At 36.8% G+C, this 25,806-nt stretch overlaps 1 protein-coding gene across 55 annotated transcripts in view, besides 1 other annotated feature; it reads left to right on the forward strand.

Moving 5' to 3' along the window:
- The window catches only part of PAM (peptidylglycine alpha-amidating monooxygenase), a 276,323-nt gene that overhangs the window by 87,016 nt on the left and 163,501 nt on the right, over positions 1-25,806 (forward strand). For all 55 annotated transcript variants that reach the window (NR_157231.1, XM_024446066.2, NM_001319943.1 and 52 more), the window contains 2 exons: positions 24,025-24,486; positions 25,475-25,595. Coding sequence is in view for 52 of the 55 variants with exons in the window: in XM_024446066.2 (XP_024301834.1) it covers positions 24,398-24,486; positions 25,475-25,595 (210 nt within the window). In the remaining 3 variants the exon portion in view is untranslated. Of the gene's footprint in view, positions 1-24,024; positions 24,487-25,474; positions 25,596-25,806 lie in introns of those variants that run through there.
- Positions 24,318-24,447: a silencer, noted in NCBI's record as "silent region_16209". NCBI's record gives its function as "represses an Ori minimal core promoter by ATAC-STARR-seq in GM12878 lymphoblastoid cells {active_cell/tissue: GM12878}" and the evidence as "EXISTENCE:reporter gene assay evidence [ECO:0000049][PMID:35858748]".

Raw genomic sequence — 25,806 nt, forward strand, 5'->3', positions numbered from 1 at the left:
ACACATAAGACAAGGGGAACTTGAATTTTCAGATGTCAAGAAGTACTTATTACAAAGTTAAAACCTGACAACAAAATGGATAGTTAGATCAATGAAAATGCATAAACATCTGAAAAATATGCCTAAATTTATAGGTAAGTAGCATGTGGCAAGTCTATCTGGATAGAATTTAATACGGCTATACACAAAAATTGAGTAACTGAAAAATGAAAGTTTCTTCCTATTGCATATCATACACAAAAATATATTTCAGATGGGTCCAAACATTATCGACAAAAATGAATTAGAACCATAATTCTGATTCTGTAAGTCCTAAACTCCAGATGAGAGAAGGACTTACAAAAGGAAAACGCATAGAACACAAAGAAAAAATATCAATAATTTAACTTTACAAAAATACAACCTAAATATATATATATATATATATATCTCCACATATGTGTAAATGCATAGAAAAGAGACTGAAGAATATTAATATGGTTTGGCTATGTCCCCACCCAAATTTCATCTTAAATTCCCATGTGTTGTGGGAGGGACCTGGTGGGAAGTAATTGAATTGTGGAAGCAGGTCCTTCCCATGTTGTTCTCATGATAGCGAATAAGTCTCATGAGATCTGATGGTTTCATAAAGGGAAGTTTCCCTGCACAAGCTCTCTCTTTGCCTGTCACCATCTATGTAAGACGTGACTTGCTCTTCCTTGCTTTCCACCATCATTGTGAGGCCTCCCCACCCATGTGGAACTTTAAGTCCGTTAAACCTCTTTCTTTTGTAAATTGCCCAGTCTTGGGTATGTCTTTAACACCAGCGTGAGAATAGACTAACACAAATATGTACAAAATTATTAAGAGAAGTTACCTTTATTTGAGGAATGGGTGTTGTGTGAGTTAGTCTTTGACAGTTTACTCAAGTACTGCTGTTTAGTTTGAAGCCTGAAACAACAACAGTGTAATGAGTTAATGTATCATTTATTGAACCAAAACAATTAGGAATGGGAGAAAAAGCAAAGAATTAATGCACAGTCTGCATTGAATAATTTTTATGAGCCATACTTTGAGAGAAACATAACTTCTCCATTTGATATATACAACAATGTTAGGATTTGGTAAATTCGCCATAATCTAGAGACATTCTTATCCCACCATCAGGAACTATTCCAAGGGAAGAGGAAGAGGAGAAAAATGTGGTTTTAAGAAGCAAGGTCCTAACATGGCTCTAAGAAGCAAGTCAGCCCACTAGGTGAAAAGAAAGTTCTACAGCTTGATCAGTGGTACTGTTGTACAGTATCCTAACCTAAAGCCTAATTATGTTTTAAATAAACCACCAGAGCCTAAGGACTTGACCCATGAGTAAATGCACCACTAAATGTGACATACATGATAAAACACTTTAATGTTACTGGAATTGTGGTTTCTCACATTGAGTATGTATATTTAGTGTAATGAATCTCTTTTTATTCCTCCCTTCAAAGTTACTATTAAATTGAGACTACGTCTTAAAACTGATGGTCCAAGAAAATAGAAAAAACAAATGACAAAGAACTTCAACCCAGCCTCAGCTTATACAAAAACGAACACAAAATAGATCACAGAGTTAAATGTAAAAAATAAAACTATAAGGAAAAAATAGGAGAAAATTCTTTAGGACCTATGGCTGGATAAAAAGTTCTTAGACGTGACACTAAATTCCATAAAAAGAAAAACTAGTAACTTGGAGTTCATCAAAGCTAAAAACATCTTCTCTGTAAGATCCCTTGTGAAGAGGATGTAAAGACAAGCTACAGAGTGGGAGAAAATATTTGCAAACCAGAAATCTGAGAAAGACCTTATGCCTATAGTATGCAACAAGCTCTCAGAATTCAACAGTAAAAACAAATCAATCCAAATAGAAAATGGGCAAAGGACATGAATAGACATTTCCCTGAGAAAGATCTATAGATGACACATAAGCCTTCTATAGATGCTCAACATCATTAGCCATTAGGGAAATGCAAATTAAAAGCTCAATGAGGTATCACTAAACACCTATCACACAGGTTAAAATTTTAAAATAGTAACATCAAATACTGACAAAGATACAGAGAAATGGTTCACTCATACATTGCTAGTGGGAATCTAAAATGGTACAACAATGTTGGAAAAAAGAACAATTGCATTCTTGAACATTTATCCCAGAGAAATGGAAATTTATGTTCATGCAAAAACCTGTATATACATGTTCATAGCAGCTTTATTTGTAGAAGCTAAAAACTGGAAACAACCAAAATGTCCTTCAAAAGGTGAACAGTTAACCTAGTACATCTGTACTATGTAAGGAGGCTCAGCAGTAAAAAGGAATGAACTATTGATACATGCAACAACTTGGATGGATCTCAAGGGATGATGCAGAGTGCAAAAAGCCAATCTCAGATTACGCACTATATGATTCTGTTTATAAAACATTCTTGAAACAATAAGCTTTTTGAGATGGAGAACAGATTTCCTAATTGTGCTATTGTACTATGGTCATACAAGATGTTACCATAGGGGAAAATGAATGAAGGGCATGTGGGATCTCTCTGTACTATTTCTTCCAACTGCATGTGAGTCTACAATGATCTAAAACATGCCTGTAATTCCAGCCATTTGAGAGGCCGAGGCAGGAGGATTGCTTGAGGCCACAAGAGATTGAGACCAGCCTGGGTAACATAGCGAGACCCCCATCTCTACAAAAAATTAAAAAATCAGCTGGGCATAGTGGCTCATGCCTGTAGTCCCAGCTACTGGGGAGTCTATGGTCAGAGGATCCTTGAGCCCAGGAGTTCGAAGCTGCAGTGAGCTATGATCACACCACTGCACTCCAGCCTGGGCAATAGAGCAAGACTCTGTCTCTCTTAAAATATAATAATAATATAAATAAAAACAAAAAAAAGAATGGGCTCTTAAACACAAGGGAAAAGTAACACAAAACTCAACAGTGTGGTTAAGTAACTTGTCCAGGGTTCCACAGCTTATGAGTAGCAGAGCTTAGATATAAACTAAGGACCTTTAAAATTTGTCTGTTTCACAACCCATGCCACCTTCCTCGGAATGCCCTTCTCTTGAAGTGAACAGGAGTAGTTTTTACATACAGGACTTGGGAGCCATTTCTCCAGACTAGCAGATATAATTGAGATCAGATTGTAAGTTGTAGTCAAATTCCTCTCAACCTGTGTTATCCAAAATATCTGGCAGTGCTTCTCAAACATCACAAGATCACCTGGGAATCTTGATAAAATACAGTTCCTCGTTCAGTCTTGAGTAGGCCTTAGCCACTGCATTTCCAATAAGCTCCCAGGTAATACTAAAGCTGCAGTCCGTGGGCCACACATTGAGCAGCTGTTTGTAACTAAGGTGACTTTTAAAATGGTTTATAACAAACAGCGTTTCAGATGTGGTTAGGATGCTGCACATGAGATGAGAGGAGGGGCACATGAAATGAGAGACAAAGAAAGCGTTGTCAGGCTATAGTGTTAAGTATGGGGATCTAGCCATAAGGGAAAACAGGATATGCTTTATTTATATACACAGATAAGTGGAGACAATTGACAGGCATTTTGAGTGTGGAAAGAGAAAACAAGAGTCAAAGCATAATGTTAAAGTGATGCCGTGTGGTCAGTTGCTAGAATATCAGCTGTTTGCTATAAATGTAATGTTCACTTCCTACATTCATGTGTAAGGAAAATTACTGATAAGGTAGGAAGTTTATTTTTTCTACAGCCTAGACTGTCATAAAATCCGATGGCTCCATTTTCATTCATTTAAATATTTGGGGATTCGATTTGTCCTGTTATCTAAACTAATTAAGGTCAGAACATCCAATACTTCCATTTATTCAGGGGTACAAATGTTTTCTTTTTGTGTTACTGAATAGCATGAAAACATCGTGCTGAAGAGTTTTAGATGCCCTACGTTCAAAGTCTTTATTTAATTATTAGTGCTTTTATCAGGCTTTATGCAAGGTGCCAGGTTTTCTGAAGTAACTAAAACTTGATATGGCTTTATGTTATGATGGGAAATTAATAAATGAGGATGAGAACTGGGGAAATGAAGTGTGAAATTATGTGGTATTTCAAAATGTAAGCTTCCTTTGTGATCTATGTTTTATCATATACTAGCTCACATTTGGTGGTGCATTTGCTCATGGGTCAACAGGCCCTTAGGCTGTAGTAGTTTCTTTAAAACATCAGGCCTGAAGTATATACTAACTATACCACTAACCAGGCTTGTGTTTCATGGGGTGTTGAATTGTGCTGAATTATTTCTTAGAAGCAAGTTGATGCTTTTTTTCCTTTTCTTCCTCCCTTAAACTACTCCCTGATGGTGAAAAATAACAATGAAATATACAGCTACCCTTGAGAAGTTCACATTCTCACTGGTCACCTGCCTCCAGTTTGCCCCCAACTTCCATTTCAGCCTCCAGGTCACTGCCAGAATGAGCTTGTAAAACACACATGGGATCTTCTCACCTATAGGATAAAGATAAATCCCTAGGCATGGATCACGAGGTCCTTTGTGCATTGGCTCCTGCCCTTTTCTCTGGTCTTATTTCCCATCCCTCTGTGTGTTCTGGTTGTACTTAACTACTTGTAATTTTAAAAACTCAACTTGCTGTCTCCTGCCTCAAGGTTGATCTATAAGCGGTTTCCTCTCTTTTGGATGCTTTTTCTCCACTGCCACCTGGTAAACACCTGGTGGTTAGCTCAGATACAGCTTCCTCCTGGAAGCTGCCTGTCTCAGTCAGGCTGTTAGGTTTCAAGGAGTAGAAACCCACAAATAAAAAGTGTTTATACAAGTGAAAGAGCAGGCCACTTCATGGACATCCCAGAATAAGGCAGGTTATATAGCAAGGACTTTGGGTATGGAAGAGGACAGTCAAGAACTAAGGTTGGTCACGTGCTGTCTTATGGCACTGCTTGATCTCTATCTCTTTTCTTTCTGTGCCTGCTCCCTTCTTCTCTTGATTTACAAAGTGATGTTCTGGCTTCTCAGTTCTTCTGTCACTTTAGCTTGCTCGTAGCTTTGCTTTGGCTTACTCTAATGTCAAGTTGGCCCTGATTCTACATGAATTTTCAAGTCAACTAACATCTCCTTTTCTTCTTTTCAAATTAGCAGGGAGAGATTTTTGGATGGACCCAGTTAAGTCAAGTGGACAATTAGCTATGGCTGAAGAGGGTCATCATATCTTACATGGGTCATACCTTTCAAGGCTGGGAGAGTGTGGTTAGTGCTGCTGCTTTGATTCTACCACTTAGAAGTAGACCATCTTTTTCTTTCTCCCGAGTCCCATTTTACTAAGCTCCTAAGCACTCATTTTTCCTTATCCTTCACTCAAAGGGTCTAAGGTACTCAGATTTCAGGACGCAGCATCTTGCCCTGTATTAAGAAACCCTTCTGCTGGAATCACCTGAGGTCAGGAGTTCAAGACCAGCCTGGCCAACATGGTGAAAGCCTGTCTCTACTAAAAATACAAAAACTAGCCAGGCATGGTGACATGTGCCTATAATCCCAGCTACTCGGGAGGCTGAGGCAGAAGAATCTCTTGAACCCGGTGGGTGGAGGTTGCAGTGAGCTGAGATCATGCCACTGCACTCCAGCCTGGGTGACAAGAGCAAAACTCCATCTCAAAAGTTTTTTTTGCCAAGTAAGAAGACAACTTCAGTTATTTGAGTGGGCATGGTTTCACTGGGATCATTATAAAATATTTGCTTTGGTTGATGCAGTGAATGCAACTCTTTATTTGGGAAAAAAAAATTTAGTAAAATATAAAAGAAAATTCGATATTTAAAATTCCTTGTGCTGTGAAAATTTATCTACTTGAGTCAGCTAAAGATAGTAAAATTACATTTAGGTTAATATCATTCCGCTCTCTAAACTACTTCCTAAGACTATTCCGGTGAGAGTACTTCAGATGATAAGGGGCAAAATTTCCTAGGAAAACTTATTTAGGTGGAAATATCCTAAAGAAACTCAATTAAAACTGAAATCGGTCAGAGAACTAAAAAGTTTTATCTTTAAATACACACTACATCCTACAATTTCTTCCATTGTGCCCTATTTTGAGAATTTATCTTACAAAACATTATTTCTATTATAGCAAGAATAAGAGCATGGTGAAAATATTATTGATTATTGCCAATGAAAAACACTGGTTTTTGAGGATTCTGTTCCAAGTAGCCTTCATGATCTTCCTGAAAAACCTGTTCTTCATGCTGGGATTTGCAGAATATATAGAATGATCTTCTGTGGGTGTCAGAAGGAGGAAATGCCTAAGGAAAAGAATTCTGTAAAATTTATTTGGATTACCAGATGTGTTCTCTTTCTCTCTCTTCATGTCCTTCTCTTTCTTCCTCTTTTTTTTTTCTCTAAGCAGAAGTCATAGAACTTGACTGTTCTTTACTTTTCCCAGTTATAAGAAGAGGATGTTGATACCGGTTTTGCTTTCTCCTGATTATTTTGGGGAATCTTGTGAATATACCTTATAAACTGTTGCATTTTAGAAATATGAGATACTGTTGGTGCCTACTGTACACGGCAAAGGCAACAAAGATGACTAACACATGGCCCTTACATGAAAGGGTTAACCCTTCAGCAGATGGATGGATTCTTCCCTGGATAACTGAAAAGCCTCACTGTGGAAAGGGGAACCCTATATATACTGACTTATGAGCGTCCCACAAAGAAAAGACCAACTTGATGCTCAGGCCTCCTCCAGAGCAGCACCAGACAGCTTTTTAGTGTCTCACTGTGAAATGCAAATACACAGTCACAAATCATCAGACTTTTTAGGGAGGTGTCTGGAGAAAGGGAGAATTTTGAAAAAGAGAGAAAAGAACTCAGCTGAAACAATGTAGGGAGGAACAGATAATAGAACTGAAACTAGAAAATGGAGAGAGTTGATAGGTAAAGTTGAGGAAATCCCTCACAAAGAAGGATAAAAACAAAGAGACAGTGGAAAAGAAATGCCAGGAAATTTGGGGGATCATTCCAGCAGGTCCAACATCTAAATATAGGAGTTTTAAAGAAGATGATAGAGATAAATGTGGAACAGAAATTGTCAAAGAATATGTAAGAATATTTATCAGAATCAGTATCTTAAGTCTTCAGATTAGAATGGCCTAGCAAGATGAATGAGAAAAGACCCATATGAGGGCACATCAATAAAAGTTCAGAACAAGAAGTCAAGGAGAAAACTTTAAAAGCCTCCAGAGAATGGAGAGAGAAAGAGATTGAGATATCACAAATAAACTATAAAAAATCAGAATGGCACCTGAATTCTAAACAATAGGACTATAAGAAGACAGAGGGACAATATCCTTAAAATTCTTGGGGGAAAGGATTGTCATTATATAAACCCCTATCCACCCAAACACAATCATGGATATAGCTAAAATAAAGATATTCTCAACACGGATCTGGAACCGCGCTCCAGTTCCAGAACTCTAGTAAAAAGAAAAAGGTGGCCGGACGCGGTGCCTCACGCCTGTAATCCCAGCACTTTTTGGGAGGCCAAGGCAGGCGGATCACGAGGTCAGGAGATCGAGACCATCCTGGCTAACACAGTGAAACCCTGTCTCTACTAAAAATACAAAAAATTAGCTGGGCATGGTGGCATGCACCTGTAGTCCCAGCTACTTGGGAGGCTGAGACAGGAGAATCGCTTGAACCCGGGAGGCGGAGATTGCAGTGAGCCGAGATCGCGCCACTGCACTCCAGCCTGGGTGACAGAGCAAGACTGTCTCAAAAAAAAAAAAAAAAAAGGAAAAAGAAAAAGGTGCATAAGTAAAGGTAACAATCATGGGACACTACTTGGTTCAGTGGAGAGCATTAGTTATATAGTTTAGCAACTTAAATATTAATTTAACCAAAAATTGTGATATGAATCTATTGGAATGCTGGTGGGATGTGATAGGAGACTTAAATCCTCATCTTCCAAAGTAAGAAGTCAATAGATAATTAATGGAACTGTGAAATTGATAAATTAGAATATCAACATATTCGGGAAAATGAATGTCAGTACCAGAACACCCTGCTAAAAGAGTGGAAAATAATTGCATCTCAGGAGCAGGATTTGGAGTAGCTGGGCAAGGGAATGCTGTTTTCATTGTAGGTTTTTAGTACTATTTGACTTTTAACTATGTGTATATATTACTCTCATTTTAAAAATCATTTAAACATTTATTTTCTATTTCAAAACTTGATATATATCCAAATTTGGTATGCGCCATTTTCCTTAAACTTTACTATGAGATCCTGAAGAACTGTGTCATGTATTTCTTTATGTTATTCCTTGTTCCCATTCATTCACTTAACATTTACTAAGTATGTCAATGTGTTTTTGTGTGCTAAGTTTGGGGATATAACAGTGGAATGTGCAGGATGAAGCTTGATGCTTGCTGGGTTGAAAAAAAACAAATGAGCTTTCTTCTGAACTGAGGATGTTTTTTAGCCCTTAGCAAACATAGTGCATTGAGTAGAAGTAAGCATGGATGAAGGTATTGAAATTCATATTCTGTCTTCTCTGTAACTGATATAAACTTCTTCATAAACCCCCATCCTGCTGAGTAGTTGGAACATAATTAAATTTGCTCCTTAGAGTTATCTGGCTTGTCTGCTTTAACATTCTTTTTTCATGTAAATATTTGAGTAATTTCTAAATTTAAGTCCCTATTAGAGGGCTGTTCCATAACTTGCCCTCCATCTTTTTGTGTGAGTAGGCAGTTAGAAGAGCCTCCCTGTGAGCATCACTGCTCACTGGCAGAGGGAAAAAGAGTGTGGTGAATCACACACAGGCTTTTAAAACTTCAGAGTGGACACAATTCACTTCTGTTCCTCCTTATTGGCTAAAGGAGATCACATGGCCACTTGGTGGACAGTACTTGACTTCCCCACCAAGCGCGGGTAGTCGAGGGGGCGGCTGGCGGGGTGGTGGTACTTCAAGCTGCACAGCTGTGGGGAACGGAGCCATGTCTTCTTTACAGCTCATACAACGCCCTGCAAAAAACCAGATATCTGGGAAATTCTGATATGAAGAATCTAGAAGAAAGAAATCTAGAGGTAGAAAAAAGAGCAGGAGTAACTACTGACTACCATTTGGTCTCAAATTCAAATTAATTAATTGGTGGGACAAATGTGGGGCGACAGGAAACTCATATTGGTAGGTTCTATTTTGGGAAGACAAAAAGCAGATTAGTTTATTGACTGAATCTGCTGGAACAGGAGGAAAGAGGGATTGGGAAAACCTAAAACTGACTGTGAGGAGAACTCTGCTCAGTAATCGGATGCACGATTCATTTAGAAAATATTATTTTATGTGCATAAAAGTGGGATTGCTTTCCCTTAGAATTTTTCTATAATTTTATTACTATTGACTTTCTCCTTAGGAGAAAAATTTAAATACAAAAGATTCAGGAGTGTGAGTGAATACTTAGGTTGTGTGTATATGTATTTTGATTATATATTGGAACACGTTGCATAATTAAACTTAAATATTTTAATGGTATCTCATTTGGTATATCCTTGGAGGATAATTGGAACTCAATAAAGAATATTCCCTCTAGTGTGTTTTGTTTTTACATAACAAAGGCAGCCTTAATGAGCCTTTATCTCATTACAATGTAATACTAATAGTGATTTAAATATAAAAATGAAAGGGAAAATTTATCATAAATTTTATTCTCTTTTAGGCAAATAATACTGCTTAACTCATTCATTTTTCTGATTTTAAAGTCAGCATTTGATTAAGATAAAGCTTACTGATAAAAGATGTTGACCTTTTTGATAGCAAGCACATTTTTGGCATTTTGTGAAAAGATGAGACAATTGCAAAGTTTTAGGAACAAGGAAAATAGGCCATTTTAACATATTAATTTGGCTAAATCAGAATGAAACAATTAATAGTATTGTTTTAATATCTTAAAATAACTCTGTAGCCTTGAGTTCAAGAGAAATACGGCATGTTAGTGCTATGTTATTATTTATGGAGAAAGGACTTTCACCTTTGTGTTTTTTTCTTAACCTTGTTTTAATTGATCAAATAATTTAAAGTGTGTTTTCTCATTATATTTGAATGCATTAATATTTAATAATATCATTCTTTCATCTCTGTCATTCAACTTATCTTTTCTATTTAACCGTAGATGAAGGTATTGTGGAACAAAATGCAAATTCTACTATGCCAAAAAAGCAGTAATCTGTACAACATATTCTTATTTTCCTAGATATATACCCAGCATAACCAATGTGGAAGCTGCTTTCCCCATTGGTATCTATCCCTGAATCAATGATGCAGTCATCTGCACCAGCCATTATGATGGTGGAAATGACTGGCCAGTCAAGCATTGGCCATTAATTTTGAATACATCCTTGAAAATCATGTTGAAAAATAAAATGGTCAGCTTCTTTTAAGTATCTGATATACCTCTGGACTGATTATGGGGACTACTGATTATTTTAAAGCTTTATTTTGTCAATGGAATTTTACAGGTTTTGACAATGACCTTAATATATTTTTAAATAAGAATAAATATGAAAAAAGAATAAATATGATCTCTATCAAATGTGTAAATTTTGTATCTTTATGAATAGTTTATTTAAAAGAGTAATGCTCTGTTTTTTTCTATTTGGTTTCTATTTTTTTCAATCTTTAAAAACATAACCTTTCAAAAGGGTAACGGTTTCTGGTTGGGATTATTAGAAGTATGTTGTTTGCTTTATCCAGAGTTTTACATAATGTTATGAGTTAGTCGCACCAGGATCAAAGAAGTTTTTTTAATTTGTATGATTTCTTCAGTGTTTTAAAGAGGGATGTAATTTTATGACAATAGAAATTAATGTGGATTATAATGGGAAGCAAATTTAAAATATAAAATAAAATTTATGCATATATGCTGACTTTTAAAACTCCACTTCAAAGGAACTACCTCCCAGCAAGATAATTTACATAAGCCCTTTATTTAGGAATGAATACTAAATTCAATAGAATCAAGTAAAAAATAGTAAACTTGATTACACATACAGCATTTAGTATTCCTATAGCACTTAGTAGTCATACAATACATTTGATCTTTTAAAATGCTTTAGCAACAATAAGGTACATTTCTTGTCCGTATTTCTCTAAGGAAATAAGCAAGTATTACTAAGAATCTATTTGTGTAATTCAAATACTAAGCACCTAGTTAAGCACACCATTTTATATTTCATTTGTTCCAGAAACATCCAGCCACTTTTGGAATATAAATGTACATAATTGACCCTCACTGCTGATTTCTTTTGGCAGTTGGTTCTGCCAGACTGCTTCTGTATAGTTTTCTTAAGTCATGCAACACAAACTTGAGGCTAAGACATATAGTACCTGTCAGTGCCAGTACCTAATAAATGTTTCCTAATAATCCTGACATAACATTGATTATTCCCTTGGAATACAAATTGTTATTCCTGATTAGTGAAGCATATTTCAGATTATTTAGGTTGAGGTTTTAGTTATATTTTTGCTAAGTGAGAGAGTTACCATTTTTGTTTTTATTTTTAGTGTTAGGAAGAGTATTTTAATTTGGGTTTTTAGCTCTGTTTTTTCCCTGACTCTTCAAAGATAATTGTAAAGTGCCTGACGTCTGAAGATGTTCTAGTACTCTGAAATAATAAAGATGAAATATATATAGGTTCAGAATGAACAGTGTAAATTTAGAAAAATAAAAGAAAGATTTTATATTTTATCCATTGATAACGCTAAACCTGAAACACTAATAACAACTTGTGATCTCTCTGGTGCTTTACTCTTTTTAGAATTTGCTCAGATTATTTTTGTTTCTCACAGTAGCCATTTGGTAGAGCATTTATCAATACCATCTATTTAGACAGGGGGAACCAAAGTTAAGAAATGTGAAGGGAATCCCTTTAGGACTTAGAACTATCACTTCTGACTTCAAGTCTGCGCCCTCATTTTACACCAGTGGTTTTCATTCATTGGCTCAGAATCCACAGGGGAGGCAGATTTAGGGTGAAGCCCAGAGTCACTGCCAGGAAATGAGCATTGTGCGATGTGAAACAATAACACTTCTCACACTTACGTGTACTATTGGTTTGAATTATATGTGACATGAAGTAAAAATTTATTTAAAAGCATTACTGATTCAGTAATGATTCAGCTTAGCCTTTATGTATTTTGCTAATAAATACCAGAAGTACAGCCTCTATCAAGTTGGTAGATCCTGCCTTGAAGGCAGCCAAAGTTGCGGTTCAGTCCCTGCCCCACTACTGCTGGCAACATGATGTGCAACACGTTCCTTGACTTCTGTGCCTCTATTTGCTCATCTGTAAAATGTAGATAGTACTTAGACCTAGCTTATAGGATGTCATGAGCATTAAATGAAATTATACATGGAAAGTATTTAAAATGCTGCCTGGCATATTGCAAATACTCAAAAACTATTAATATTATTTTAATTATTAATAGCGTCATTATAATATATAGTTCCATGAAATGTCCTCATTTTAAAAAGGGATTTTTATATTTCAAAAATGGGAATGACTTCTCTATACTATACTGCCTGCGGGCCTCCTTATTTTGGTTTAAATTGGCAAATGCTGGGTATTTCACATTTTTCTGCGACTTAAAAACTCAACTTTTAGTTATGATATAACTCAAGCTTAGGGCATGTAGCCTCAACAATGGAGAGAGAAAGCTAATAAGATCAACTGGGTGTGCTTGGGCTTCACTTCCTTGATACTCCTGGAAGTCCACCTCGGATGTGTCTTAGGCCTGGAGGATCATGGACCTCATCTTTTTTAAGCTCTCATTTTCCATTCCAGGGTGCATATTGCTAGTCACTGTGGGAAACCTTGTAAAAATTATTAAAAACTGGGAAAGAACAAGCCACTCTGTGAGCACCTTGTTAAAATAAACCACTTCTTCCTAAGCTCAAGACAGCAAGAAACAGTTTAATAGCAATGAAATAAACTCACCACCTGTTTGTGCATCAGCATCAAAGAATTCTAACAAACATAAGAATGCTTTGATCATTTTCAGCCAGAAGAAAATTATGAAGCTCTTCATTGATAGTTCATGGGGAATTTGGGGACACTGATCAAAGAAAACTGTTAGTGCTATAGACTAGAAATTAAGATATCTGCATATAAGCTACTTCAGTACATTGTACTTTCAGTGGTGAATTGCATATTTAAAAATTCAAATGGTTGTCTTACGATTAAGCTAAATTTTATTTTAGCCTCTCTGCCCTAAAATAAAAGACATTAAAATGTTTTTTTAAGCAACTTTGTTCTTTTGTTAATGACTTCCAGATTATCTAGTTGAGATGAATTGAGAGGGCAGTGTGTAGTTTACACTTTGCAGAATCCCTCTAAGGGATTCTAAACCCAATTGAGCAGAATTATTCAAATGAGAGAATGTTTTGACATTCTTTGATGATCTTTAAGAAAAATTTCCATATGTTTTTCAATTCTATAATAGGGTTATATGATTATAGATTTCACTTTTAAGTACTGTAATAATACAGCTGAGTGGCTTGAAGAAAAGGATAGCAAAACTTTTATAATAGGAAAGAGTGTGTTTATGCATTTTGTTGTACAAATTTGAACATTTGAAATGGAAAACATAAGAATCATTTGAAAATACAACTATGCTATGAGAGAAAACACTTCTGTATGGATAGCACCAGAAACAGAAGACAAAGGTCACTGTTGTTTTTAAGTGAAAATCTAGACATTTCCTATAGACTTTTAAAGAAAGAGAATACTTATTTTGTAACTGCATGGTCTGGGTCTGAGCTGGTTTTTGCATGTAGTTAATACCTCCTGCCTCTGAAGTCGTTGGAAAGCATTTAACAAAATATATATTAAAATGCTTCAGGAATAACTAGTATGCCTAAGGATGTGGAATCAAACAGGAAAAAAAGTCACAAACATCTCATTAAAAATGTGTTGATTGATTGCAAGAAAAACAGAAGGAAAGGCAGATCCCCACCTTCAGACCACATCCACTGAAGCCCGGTACACTAAATATTTGCACTTACATGCGGTTACCCTCCCTCCATTCTATACCAACTTCCTCCTAAAAATAAAAGAAACTAGTAACACAAAGACCCACAAAAGAAGCAGTACAAAGCATTAATGCAAAAGATCTTTCAATACCTAAATCAGTGGGTCAATCTATGATTCACACTTTTTTTGAAAAAAACATCCAAGATTTGAAATGTAGTGAGGTCTTTGACATTACTCGCAAACTAGTTCCTGAAAAATTTTACTGAAGAGGAACAAAGTCCATTAATTTCTGAAATGGCATATTACGGACATAGTCTCTAAGTCTAGGTTCTGCTGACTGACTTGCTTCATGAGTTAAGGCAGAGTTCACAGAAGGTTGTCCACCAAATAGCTCTGCAAAACCAGCCCAAAAGTCTGTTCCCCTGACTCAACAATGTTTCAAGGAGAAAGTAGGTGATAGCTGAAGAGGTGTTTTGTGCTCTTGTGAAACTAAATTTTATGTAATGTCCTGAGCTTATAAATAAATAAGGTACCTGGTAGGCAAATTAGGATACAAAGAAGTGGTCCACTTCTCTGGCATCATCTGTAGTGGTTAATGCTTTCCGCTGCAGTTCACCCATCTCTTGAGAACTTGACAGTTCAGTCTTTAGAGTAAAAAGATGTGTGCTATTTGGAAGACAGGGATCTGTTTTATTTTACAGTAAAATATGCCAGCATTGAATTTGATACATGTGTTAGGAAGCAACATTTGTATTAGTCAAAGCTGAGGAATTTAATTAAGAATTATATGTCTTGTTATTTTCCCCGTGGAAGTATTTACAGGGCTGAGCGATTTGATGACTAATGGACATATTTAAAGGGCGTCTGTTACTGATCATGGAAACAAAAAATAAAATAAAATAAAATTTTTTACTTTTGGCAAGTTCTTATTGCAGTAGAATCATATGCTGAATGGTACCCCTGAGATTTTTTTTCAGCATATATGTTCTAATAGGTACCCAGCCAATTTTGACTTGCAAGGGAAAGATACTTCAAATTGGCTGCATGTTAGAAGACATGAATCCCAAACAAATCTGTGTGCAGAAAATACCATTCAATTTGCTAGGTCTTGCTAATGAAGAGAGCCTTAAAAAACAAACCAACAACAACAACAACAAAAAACAGCAACTTGGTACACCTAAGTGTGGTAAACCCTGTGTTCCACCTAGGGTGAAGTTTATCTTCCTAGAGCAAGGGTGTCCCTCAGTGATCACAACACAGATGATTTTAAAGTTTCAGCTAGTAATGTTAATGAGAAAAGCTGGCCAGTTATAAAAAAAATAGAAAGGGCAAAAAACAAATGAACAAACAACTGCACTTGAGAGCTGAGCAGCAGTTTTAACAGCTACTCCTAGCCTCAGAGACTGAGAGCAGATAGGGAGCAGTGGGGACAGTGGCAGTCTGCGGATTGCTGGCCACGTCAAAAAGGGAGTCACTACTTGGCTCAGCTAATTGTTGCTGTGTGGAAATGTGAGTCCAGTGATGCCAGATTTTTATGGCTCTTCAAGAGAGTGGAAATCTGGGTTTTATATGAAATCTTTCATTTTGAAATGTTTATTCAGAGCTCAAATATGGGGGAGGAGTTGGGAAAAAACCCATGCAGGCCAAACCAAATCTTCTTTTGGATCAATTTGAACCATAGGCATAGGACTTCGATTTGTTACCTACTGAATTAGCTAAATGAGTAATGTTTATAAAGTTGAAGAGGGAATGTTTCCTAGTATATGAATGGAAAAAAGACTAGGTGCGTAGTTAAGAGCTTCAACCATGGCGTCAGATTGCCTGTGTTTATGTCCTGGCTGGGTACCATGGGCATGTTACCAATTCGCTTTGTGTCCAGTTGCCACTTCAGTAAAATAGGAATGATAATGGTACAAATTTCATAGAGTTGCTGTGAGGATTCAGAAGAGCTAATTTATATAAACTGCTTAGTACAATGCCTGGCATATAGTAATTGCTCAATAAACATGAGCTATTATTATTTTGCAAGAAAATGGTATTCAAAGGATTTACCTATTTGTTATACCTGAAGAAAATATCCCCAATAAATATGGAGGGTCTGTTTTGTGTTGAAGAGTATGGATTAAGAGCATGGATTCTGGAGTCAGCAGGCTAGGATTTGAATTCTTGCTCTATCACTGTGTAACCAGAACAAGTTAATTTTTCTGAGCTTTAGATTCCTCATCTATAAAACAGAATTAATAACCCATATCTCAAAGTCATAAGAATTCAGCAAGATTATACACGCAAAATCAGTGCTGGCATATGAGTCAGTAAGTGTTAACTGTTGTTATGATTATTCTTTAGGATATTTTCCCCCATTATTTGGAAGTTCCATTTTTGCAAACACTTTTTTAAGTTATTTATTTCTTATTATATGTACTTAAAGAAAATGGAATTGCATTTGATTTACAAGTTAAGCTTCATCTTAATGAGCCACATTACAACAGTGGTTCTCAACCAGGTGATTTTACCCTTCAGAAGACATTTGGCAATGTCTGGAGACATTTTTGATTGCCATAACTGAGGGGAATGCTACTGGCATCTAGTGGGTGGAGGCCAAGGGTGCCGCTGAACACCCTGTAATACACAGGACAGCCCCTACAACAAAGAATGGTTCAGCCCAAAATGTTGATAGTGCTGAACTTAAGAAGCTCTGCATTACAGCTATATAGCCACCATAACATTTAGTTTGTAATGTTCTTGCTAAGCAGAGGAAGAATTTTTCTTTTATCAAAACATTACCTAACTTTCAGATAGCAGTTAACATGTAAATTGAAATCTGTCGAACCATATTTAATAAAATATTTTAAAATGCATATATTCCTGTTTTCTTCTAGTTACAAAAGTAATACAAGCCAGTGAAAATTAAAAGACTACAAAAGCATATAAATAAGACAATGAACTCCACCTTTTCCCCAACCATCTCCATAGAAAATCTCTGGAAATGCAACAGTTTAAGTTATATTACTTCAGACTTTTAAATACAGTCACATGCCTCATAATGATGCTTTACTCAGTGTCACGACACATATGTGATGGTGGTCCCATAAGATTATAATAGAGCTGAACAATTCCTATCACCTAGTAACATCGTAGTCATCATAATGTCAATGCATTACTCATGTGTTTGTGGTGATGCTGATGTTAACAAACCTACTGCCCTACCAGTCACATAAAAGTCTGGCACATATGATTGTGTATAGTACGTAATACTTGATAAAGATAATAAACGACTGTGTTATTGGTTTATGCATTTACAATACTATTTTGTCTTTATTTTAGAGTGCACTCCTTCTACTTACAAAAAAAATGTTAACTGTAAAACAGCCTCAGGCAGGTTTTTCAGGAGGCATTTCAAAAGGCATTGCTATCATAGGAGATGACTGTTCCATGTGTTATTGCCCAGAAGACCTTCTGGTGGGACAAGATGTGGAGGTGAAAAACTGATATTGATCATGCTGATCTTGTATAGGCCCAGGCTAGTGTGTGTGTGTGTGTGTGTGTGTGTGTGTGTGTGTCTTCACTTTTAACAAAAAAGCTTAAAAAGTTTAATAAGGTTTTTTTTTAAAAAAAGCTTATAGAATAAAGATATACAGAAAGAAAATATTTTATATACTTGTACAATGCATTTGTTTTTTAAGCTAAATGTTATTGCAAAGGAGTTAAAAAGTTAAACAATTTTTAAAAGTTTATGAAGTAAAAAGCTACACTGCACTAAGATTAATTTATTATTGAAGAATATTTTTAAAATAAATTTAGTATAGCTTACAGGAAACTGCATAAAATCTCCTGTACAGTGTTATAAAGTCTATAGTAGTGTACAGTAATGTCCTAGGCCTCTCACTCACCACTCACTCACTCAACCAGAGCTACTTCCAGTCCTGAAGCTCCATTTATAAGTGCCGTATACAAATGTACCATTTCTTATCTTATATACAGTATTTTTACTGTACCTTTTCTATGTTTAGATACACAGATACTTAGCATTATGTTTGAGTTGTTTCCAGTATTCACTATAGTAACATGCTGTACAGGTTTGTAGCCTAGGAGCAGTAGACCGTATAGAGCCTTGGTGTGTCATAGGCTATACCATCTAGGTTTATGTAAGTACAGCCAATGATGTTCACACAAGGATGAAATGGCCTAACATAACAATGCATTTTTCAGGACATAACCCCATTTTTAAGTGACACACGACTCTCTATATGTATGCTGTTCTATAATTTGCTGTTCAAAAATTGATGTCTTTTTTCTTCCTGACCGGTTCAGTCCTAAAGCAACTATCTAGGGCAAAGCAGGGTAGAAATTGAGGAAGGGTGGCCTGGCATGGGGCATTGGAGCCCATATTAGGTAAGGAGGCATCCGTGTGATGGGGTTGGTGACCTGGCATGGAGCATCAGAGCCCAGACAAGGTGAGGAGGGCATCCATGTGTGTGCAGCCTGGTATAAGGTGTTCACAAAGGGCAAGTGAGATAAAGTACACAAAGAGGAAGGTCTTGTGCAGGGCTTTGAGCCCAGGTGGGAGAAGGGGCAGAAAGCAAGGAAATGTTCAAAGGATGATAGGAATATGTCAAAGGCTAGCACTTTGGAAGGGCGAGGTGGGGGAATAGCTTGTGTCCAGGAGTTTGAGACCAGCCTGGGAAACGTGGTGAAACTCTGTCTCTACAAAAAATACAAAACAAATTAGCCAGGTGTAGTGGTGCATACCTGTGGTCCCAGCTATTTGGGAGGCTGAGGTAGGATGATCACCTGAGCCCAGGAGGTAGGGGTTGCAGTGAGCTAAGATCATGCCACTGTACTCCAGCCTGGGCAACAGAGCGTGAGACCCTGTCTCAAAAAAAAAAATAATAAAATAACCGCTTCACCAAAACATATTAATTATAAAGGGGAAAAAAATAGTAACAGTATGGTGGAAACAGCTGGAAGACATCAATTTAATCAAATGGTCAAAGTTAATATTGTCAGTAATGAGACAAGTCACAATCATAGCCACTTAATAAAATGCTATGGTAGCCAGCTTCCAAGCAGATGGTCCTCCCCACCTAGCTATTCATGCCCTGGGTGGTCTTCTCCTTCAGTGGGTGGGGCTGACCTGTATAGCCAGCAGGATGTTAGAGAAATGATGGTATGTGGCTTCTGATGCTACATAATAAAAGACTGCTCACTCTGGGGGAAGCCAGCTGCCATGTTGTGAAGACACTCAAGTAGCCCGAGAGAGAAGCCACATATTGAGGACATGTTTTTTTGCCAACAACCAGCACTAACTTCCCAGCCATGTGAGCAAGCTGTCTTGCAAGCAAATCTTCCAGCTCCAGTCAAGCCTTCAGATGACTGCAGTTCTGGTTCACATCTAAACTACAACCTCATAAGAGAACCTCGCAGCTAAGCTTTTCCTGATACACAGAAACTTTGCAAGATAATGCTTATTGTTTTCACCTACTATGTTTTGGGATAATTAGATATGCAGCAATGGACAATTAACACAGATATAGTGAGAAGAACACACCATCATTTCTGTCATACTCCTGCCAAAGATACATAACCTGAATCTGGTCCTAATGAAACATAAAACAAACACTGATTGAGAGGCATTCTGCAAAATAGCTAGCCTGTAATCTTCCATAGAGTCAAGGTCATAGAAGCTGAAGACAGACTGAGAAACTGTCTGGAGTGAAGCAGACTGGAGATATGACAGCTCTCTTTGGAACACCTGATTCTGAACTGGATTATTTTACTAATAAAAGACATTATTGGGACAGTGGGCAAAGTTTGGAACCTGAGGATTAGATGTTAGTAATGTATCCATGTGAATTTTGTTATTTTGATGATTTTATTGAGGTTATGTAGTAGAACATATTTGTTTTTAGGAAGTTATACTAAAGTGTTTAGGGATGATGGAGCATCAGGTCAGTAACTCTAAAATGATTACGGAAAAAAGTTATTTGTACTATACTTGCAGCATTTCTATAAGTTTCAGGTTCTTTAAAAATTTTTTAAGTTATGCCAAAAATATGTTATAAAATATGCCTTTGGAGGCCAGGCATGATGGCTCATGCCTGTAATCTCAGCACTTCAGGAGGCTGAGACAGGCAGATCACTTGAGCTCAGGAGTTCGAGACCAGCCTGGGAAACTTGGCAAAAACTTGTCTCTACAAAAAATACAAATATTAGCAGGACATGGTGGTGTATGTCTGTAGTCCCGGCTACTCGGGAGGCTGAGACAGGAGGACTGCTTGAGTCTGGGAGGCAGAGGTTGGAGTGAGCCAAAATTGCGCCACTGCACTCCAGCCTGGGTGACAAAGTAAGACCCTGTCTCAAAAAAAAAAAAAAAAAAAATTGCCTGTGGCTTTAAAAATAGACACATATTGTCTTTTTTTTTTTTAAAGGGGTGCATAGCATTCTGGTTTTTGTAACTATAAGTTTTTTTTTCCACAAATCTCCTATTGAAGGACGTTTAAATTGCTTTCAGTTCTTTGCCATTATAAACATCCGGGTCTTTGTTATTACGAACAATACTAGTAAACATTTTTATAAACATAGTTGTGCCTTGTTCAGTTTTTGCCTAAGAATTAATCCTCAGAAGTCAAATTGCTATGTGAATGGATATGTGCCCTTTCATCAGTTTAATCGTAAGTCATTCAAGGAAACTGCATAAAATCCCCTTACAAGAAAATGAAATTTACAGTTTGGTAGTCATTTTTATTTGTTTCTCTCCCCCAGAAAGTAATTTCTATAAGAGTGGGAACGTTATCTGTCTTGATTATCACCGTCCCCAGCATTCAGAGTCTCAGGCATTCAATATATATTTGTTGCAACAACAATAATAGGGAATATTTATTATGTGTCTAGCACTGTTCTAAGGGTATTAATTTAGTTTTTGCTGGCAACAGCCCTACGAGGTAGGTAATATGATTACATCCATTTTGCAGATGAAGAAACTGAAGCTAGAGAGGTTAGGTACTTGTCTAGTTTCACACAGCTAATAAATAGTGGACCCAGGAATCAGGCAGTTTTCCTTCAGTTTACAGGTATCCACTATGCTGTACAGGGTCTCTTATAAATGAATACACGACTGAATGGTCAAATTGGTTAATATATTTATTTGGCTCTTTGACCAGTAACAAATGCCAGCTATCTTTTTTTTTTTTAAAAAAAAATGAAAATTAGAGGGAATGGACTGCCTACTTTGTAAGAGCCAAATTAGTTTTATGGTCTTCTGGACTAGGCTGTACTTAACTACCTACTAATACTCCTCCTGGAATTAATATCCATACAGGTATAGGTTATAAATCATTCTTACCTGAAGATTTTATGGATATGTAAACAGAACATTTGCTTTGTATTACAAATAAAATAGTAAATCTGGGCCTGCAGCTTGAGTCTAGGAGGCAGAAATTTTATTACTTTATGAACATACTCTGTTCCCCACCTGGGCTCCTTTGCTCCTGCCATTTCCCTGTACCTGTAATGCTGATTGTCCACCTCCCACAGTGGAAACTCTAACTGTCCTCCAAGGCTTGCTCAGTAGCCACCCCTTCCACTGAATACTGCTTTTACTCTTCTTTTTTCTTGCCCTCCTTTTGAGGATTCTTTCCTTCTTCAAAATTCTGAGTCTCTTTTTATAGTACTCATATAGAATACTACATTCTAAATATACCTTATGTTACTGTGTAGAGTTCTCATCTCCCTTAATAGACTATATTCTTTTTTAGTTTTATTCATTTTATAAAACTCCAGTATGTATTATAATCTTTTGTATAAAGTATTGAAACTAAGGGTTTTTTTTTTTTTGGATGAGTGAAGGAATTATCTCAATGAAATATCTGAAATATATTTAAAATTTTTAAATCTTAAATAAGAATACTAATAAAATTTGATTATTATATGTTCTACATTATCCAGAATTATAAAAAAAATAAAATAGGTGGACATGTTTTTTTTTTGATCTGATGATTTGTATTTTGTCTTTAGCTTACAAGTCATCCAGAAACAAGAAGCATAATTAGCTTTCATTTTTATAAGACCTTTTGTTCTATTCATGGCTACAAATACCAACTTTGCTTCTACCCACAACTTTAATTCCCTTTTCTTTAAGTGGGTGGTTTAGGGACATCAAAGGTAATAAAATCAAAGAGATAAGTGGAATATTTTTTTCAAAGGCTAGTACTTAAGGGTGTGTTCCTGTTAGAGAATTTTAATACTTAATTTGTTTTCAAGTGTTTGTGTAATACCAAATCTCCTTGCCAACTGGAAGAGGGACTGTCCTTGAATCCTGTTCTGAATAAAATATTAAAATATAATCCCTTCTTCATATATATATATATATATATATTTTTTTTTTTTTTAAAGAACTTCAGGGAATGTGAAGTATTGTCATTTGATAGGATTATACTTTGTTGCTAGCAAAGGCAATAGCATAGCCTTCCTGCCAATTGTTTCTCTTCCTCCAGAAGGAGTTCTTTCCTTTACCCACAGGATAAGGATAAAGCTGAAGGTTTTTGTTTCTGAAAGCCCAAACAGCAAGCCAAAGAGAAAGTTCAAACAAATATTGTCAGTCTTTTAAAAATGTCATTGCTTATGTAAATTAGCTGACCCTTGACTGCTGGTGAGCCTCAAGCATCCTTGATTTGGTTGGATGTTAAGTCAGGTTTTATTTATATTTGGTATATGGTATCTAGAAAGCACTTATCATGAAGAATCTCACTTCATTTAAGGTTAGTGCTTTTTTATTTGTTTTGGTTCTAGGTTTTTGTTTTGTTTTGTTTTAGATTAGCTTCACTATCTTGTGATTTCCAGAGGCTGATGTATTACTGTGAAACATTCCGATATGATTTTTCCTTATTTTTTCTTTTTACTGTTACACATCTTCCCATCAAATTCATTTGAGATTCTTGGAACGATGTTTATAGTTACTGACTAAAATAAAACTTTAATCTCTTTCTTTGGAAGTACAGTATTTTTATATTGTGAATTATACAGTTTTAATTTATGCCTTCAGACTAAAATTTGCAGGTTTGATAACATAGTTTTAAATATATTCAGTCAAAATATGAATATTTTCAAGTTTAACCTAGTTGAGTCCTCTTATAAAACGTTGAGCTGTAACATTAGTTCTTCATGGCCTCTCATTTGTATTAATGTGACGTTCTTGATCATAACCTTTGAAGATAAAATTCATTTGGGGGGCAGCTAAGATTCTCCCTACTCTTTCTAATTATGTTGTAAAACTCCAAACTTAGGAAAGGATATCTTTTGGAAGGCATGCCTTATGAGTACAAAATTATTATTTTGCTTATGAGATGCAGGATTTTTAAATGGGCATTTACATCTTGTGTATCATGTTAGCTGTAGAGTTTTTGTTTGTTTTAAAATAATTCTGAGAACTTGGGCAATTCTGTGATGATCCTTGGGAGCTCTTGGTAGGAGATATCATTCCTCTTGGATCTGTAGCTCTGTGATGCATGTATATAAGCATGCCTTTGTTCTCAAAAGTCTTTTTCTATCTGATTACTGTGGTATCCAGTGCTTTGTCTTTGCCTCTCTTCGTTTTTTGTTTTGTTTTTTTCCTTGCGCCTTAGCCGGTCATTTGTGTGATGTTTACATTCAGCAGAGAGGTATTTAGAGCATTTTTGGTGAGAGAAAGGAGTGATAGAGGAAGTAAAGAGAAATTCAGACTGGGGTGGCTGTGAGGGATAAAGGGGGGAAGAAGTAGGAAAAGAAAACAGGAGTGGGTCCAAGGGAGGAAGAGCAAGCAAAGACAGAACACCGGCTCTACAGGGGCTGCGCCGTGGGGGTTCCTGAAATCTTGGGGGCTGGCTGTGGGGGAGGGAGCTCAACAGACCAGCATTTTCCCCAGGCTTGGGCGCAACCTTGTGAAACTACTAATGTATTAAAGAACCTCAGCTGGGATTTGCTGAGGACAAATGCTGTAACGTGTTAGTCATCCATTATCTGCTTCTATTTTTGCAGGTTCTGAATGATGACTGACGCGGGTTTGGGTGATACCCCTCACAGCCCCTGTCATTCCGGAGTCATAAGGCACCCGCGCGTCTAGCCCCAGCGCCAGGGCACGCGAGCGGCGCTGGAGGGAGGAAAGCTTCCGCCTGCGGGCCGGACAAAAGTCCCGCCTGCCCACGGCTTTTTGCCCGCCGCTCGTGACCGAGACGCCTCGCCGCGGCCAGCTCGCTGCTCTCGCTGGCGGATGGTGTGTGGCCGCCGCAGGACGCCCGCCGTGCCCGGGCCATGAAGTAGCGGCTGCTGGCGGCGCCGCTGCCCAACCGCCAGCCCCAGCCCCGCGCTGCGCTGCCCGGTCCTCTCCCGGCGGGGTCGTATCGGCGTGGACATGGCTGGCCGCGTCCCTAGCCTGCTAGTTCTCCTTGTTTTTCCAAGCAGCTGTTTGGCTTTCCGAAGCCCACTTTCTGTCTTTAAGAGGTGGGTGTTCGTTGTTCGGGTGCTTTCTGTGCATGCTGTTGAGAAATGTAATCACTTTTATGAACCTGAGTGTTGGCAAAATAGACGGGGTTGATGTTCTTTGCTGGAATGACTTGGAATTTTACCACAGTAACTTCTTGTGAAGTCCCCCGTGCAGAAAAAGCCCACTGCATTGTAGCCAAGCAGTTCTGGCTTTCAAAACTCCAATTAGAAGTTGTGATTTCCAAAACTAATCACTCCCTCTGGGGGAGGTATTTCAGGAACTACAATATATTCGCTTAGTTTTGAATGCCTGCTTGTTTATAACAGCTCGAAGAATAAAATATAAGGATACATCAGTGTCGAGGAGAAGCAGATCATAGACTGTAATAGCTCACAAGGAAACACTGAGCTGTATACAAACGCCTCATAATTACTTTATTAAATATTTATGTACTTGTACATTTGTAATTCACATCGCAGTCTTTTATTTCTTCCTCCTAACAGCTCTGCCTCCTAGCAAGATTATGGTTGGCTTTCTTGTTTCTAGCTAGTAATTCTGGACACTGAAAATAGTTACAGAAATTTTTACTGGGTCATGGTTAATATTTCTGCCATTAGAAAATTGGCATGCCTGTGATAATTTGTAATGTATTAATACTATATCTTCATTAACTTGAAACAGATATATGTTTTGACATATTTTTATATGACATAATTTTTTATAAATTTTCAATAAAAACAAGTTTTTATTGAATGGAGTTTTAAATGTAGCCTGGTTGATTGCATTGGTTATATTTTATTTACAAATTAGGTATATATTGTTATTGGACTATAAAATGAAAATCTGAGTATGTTTACGAACATTGTGTAGTCATCACATCTTTAGAGTTTTCATTGGGTTTAAATCAATCATCTTTAAGGTCATAGAATTCCTTTCTTTCCCCTTCTCATGTTGAGTTTAGATTCCATTATGTTCAAGAATATTGAAATTGCCCTCTTTTTTAAGGTTTAAAGAAACTACCAGACCATTTTCCAATGAATGTCTTGGTACCACCAGACCCGTAGTTCCTATTGATTCATCAGATTTTGCATTGGATATTCGCATGCCTGGGGTTACACCTAAACAGGTGAGAGGAATTTTGTCTTTCATTATTCACTTGTTCTGGATACAATCTATAATTAAAGTAAGGAAACTGCATTTACAGCTGTAGGAACTTCTTTAAACGTAGGCATTTGCTTTCAAGACTCCAGCTAAGGCTAGAATAATTGAATATTTTAAAGAGGGTTAAGTCTTTCAAGGTGAATCTTTCACTTAAATTTTGTTTTTAAAATTTTACT

The sequence above is a fragment of the Homo sapiens genome, chromosome 5, assembly GCF_000001405.40.
Source record: "Homo sapiens chromosome 5, GRCh38.p14 Primary Assembly".
NCBI lineage: Eukaryota > Metazoa > Chordata > Mammalia > Primates > Hominidae > Homo > Homo sapiens.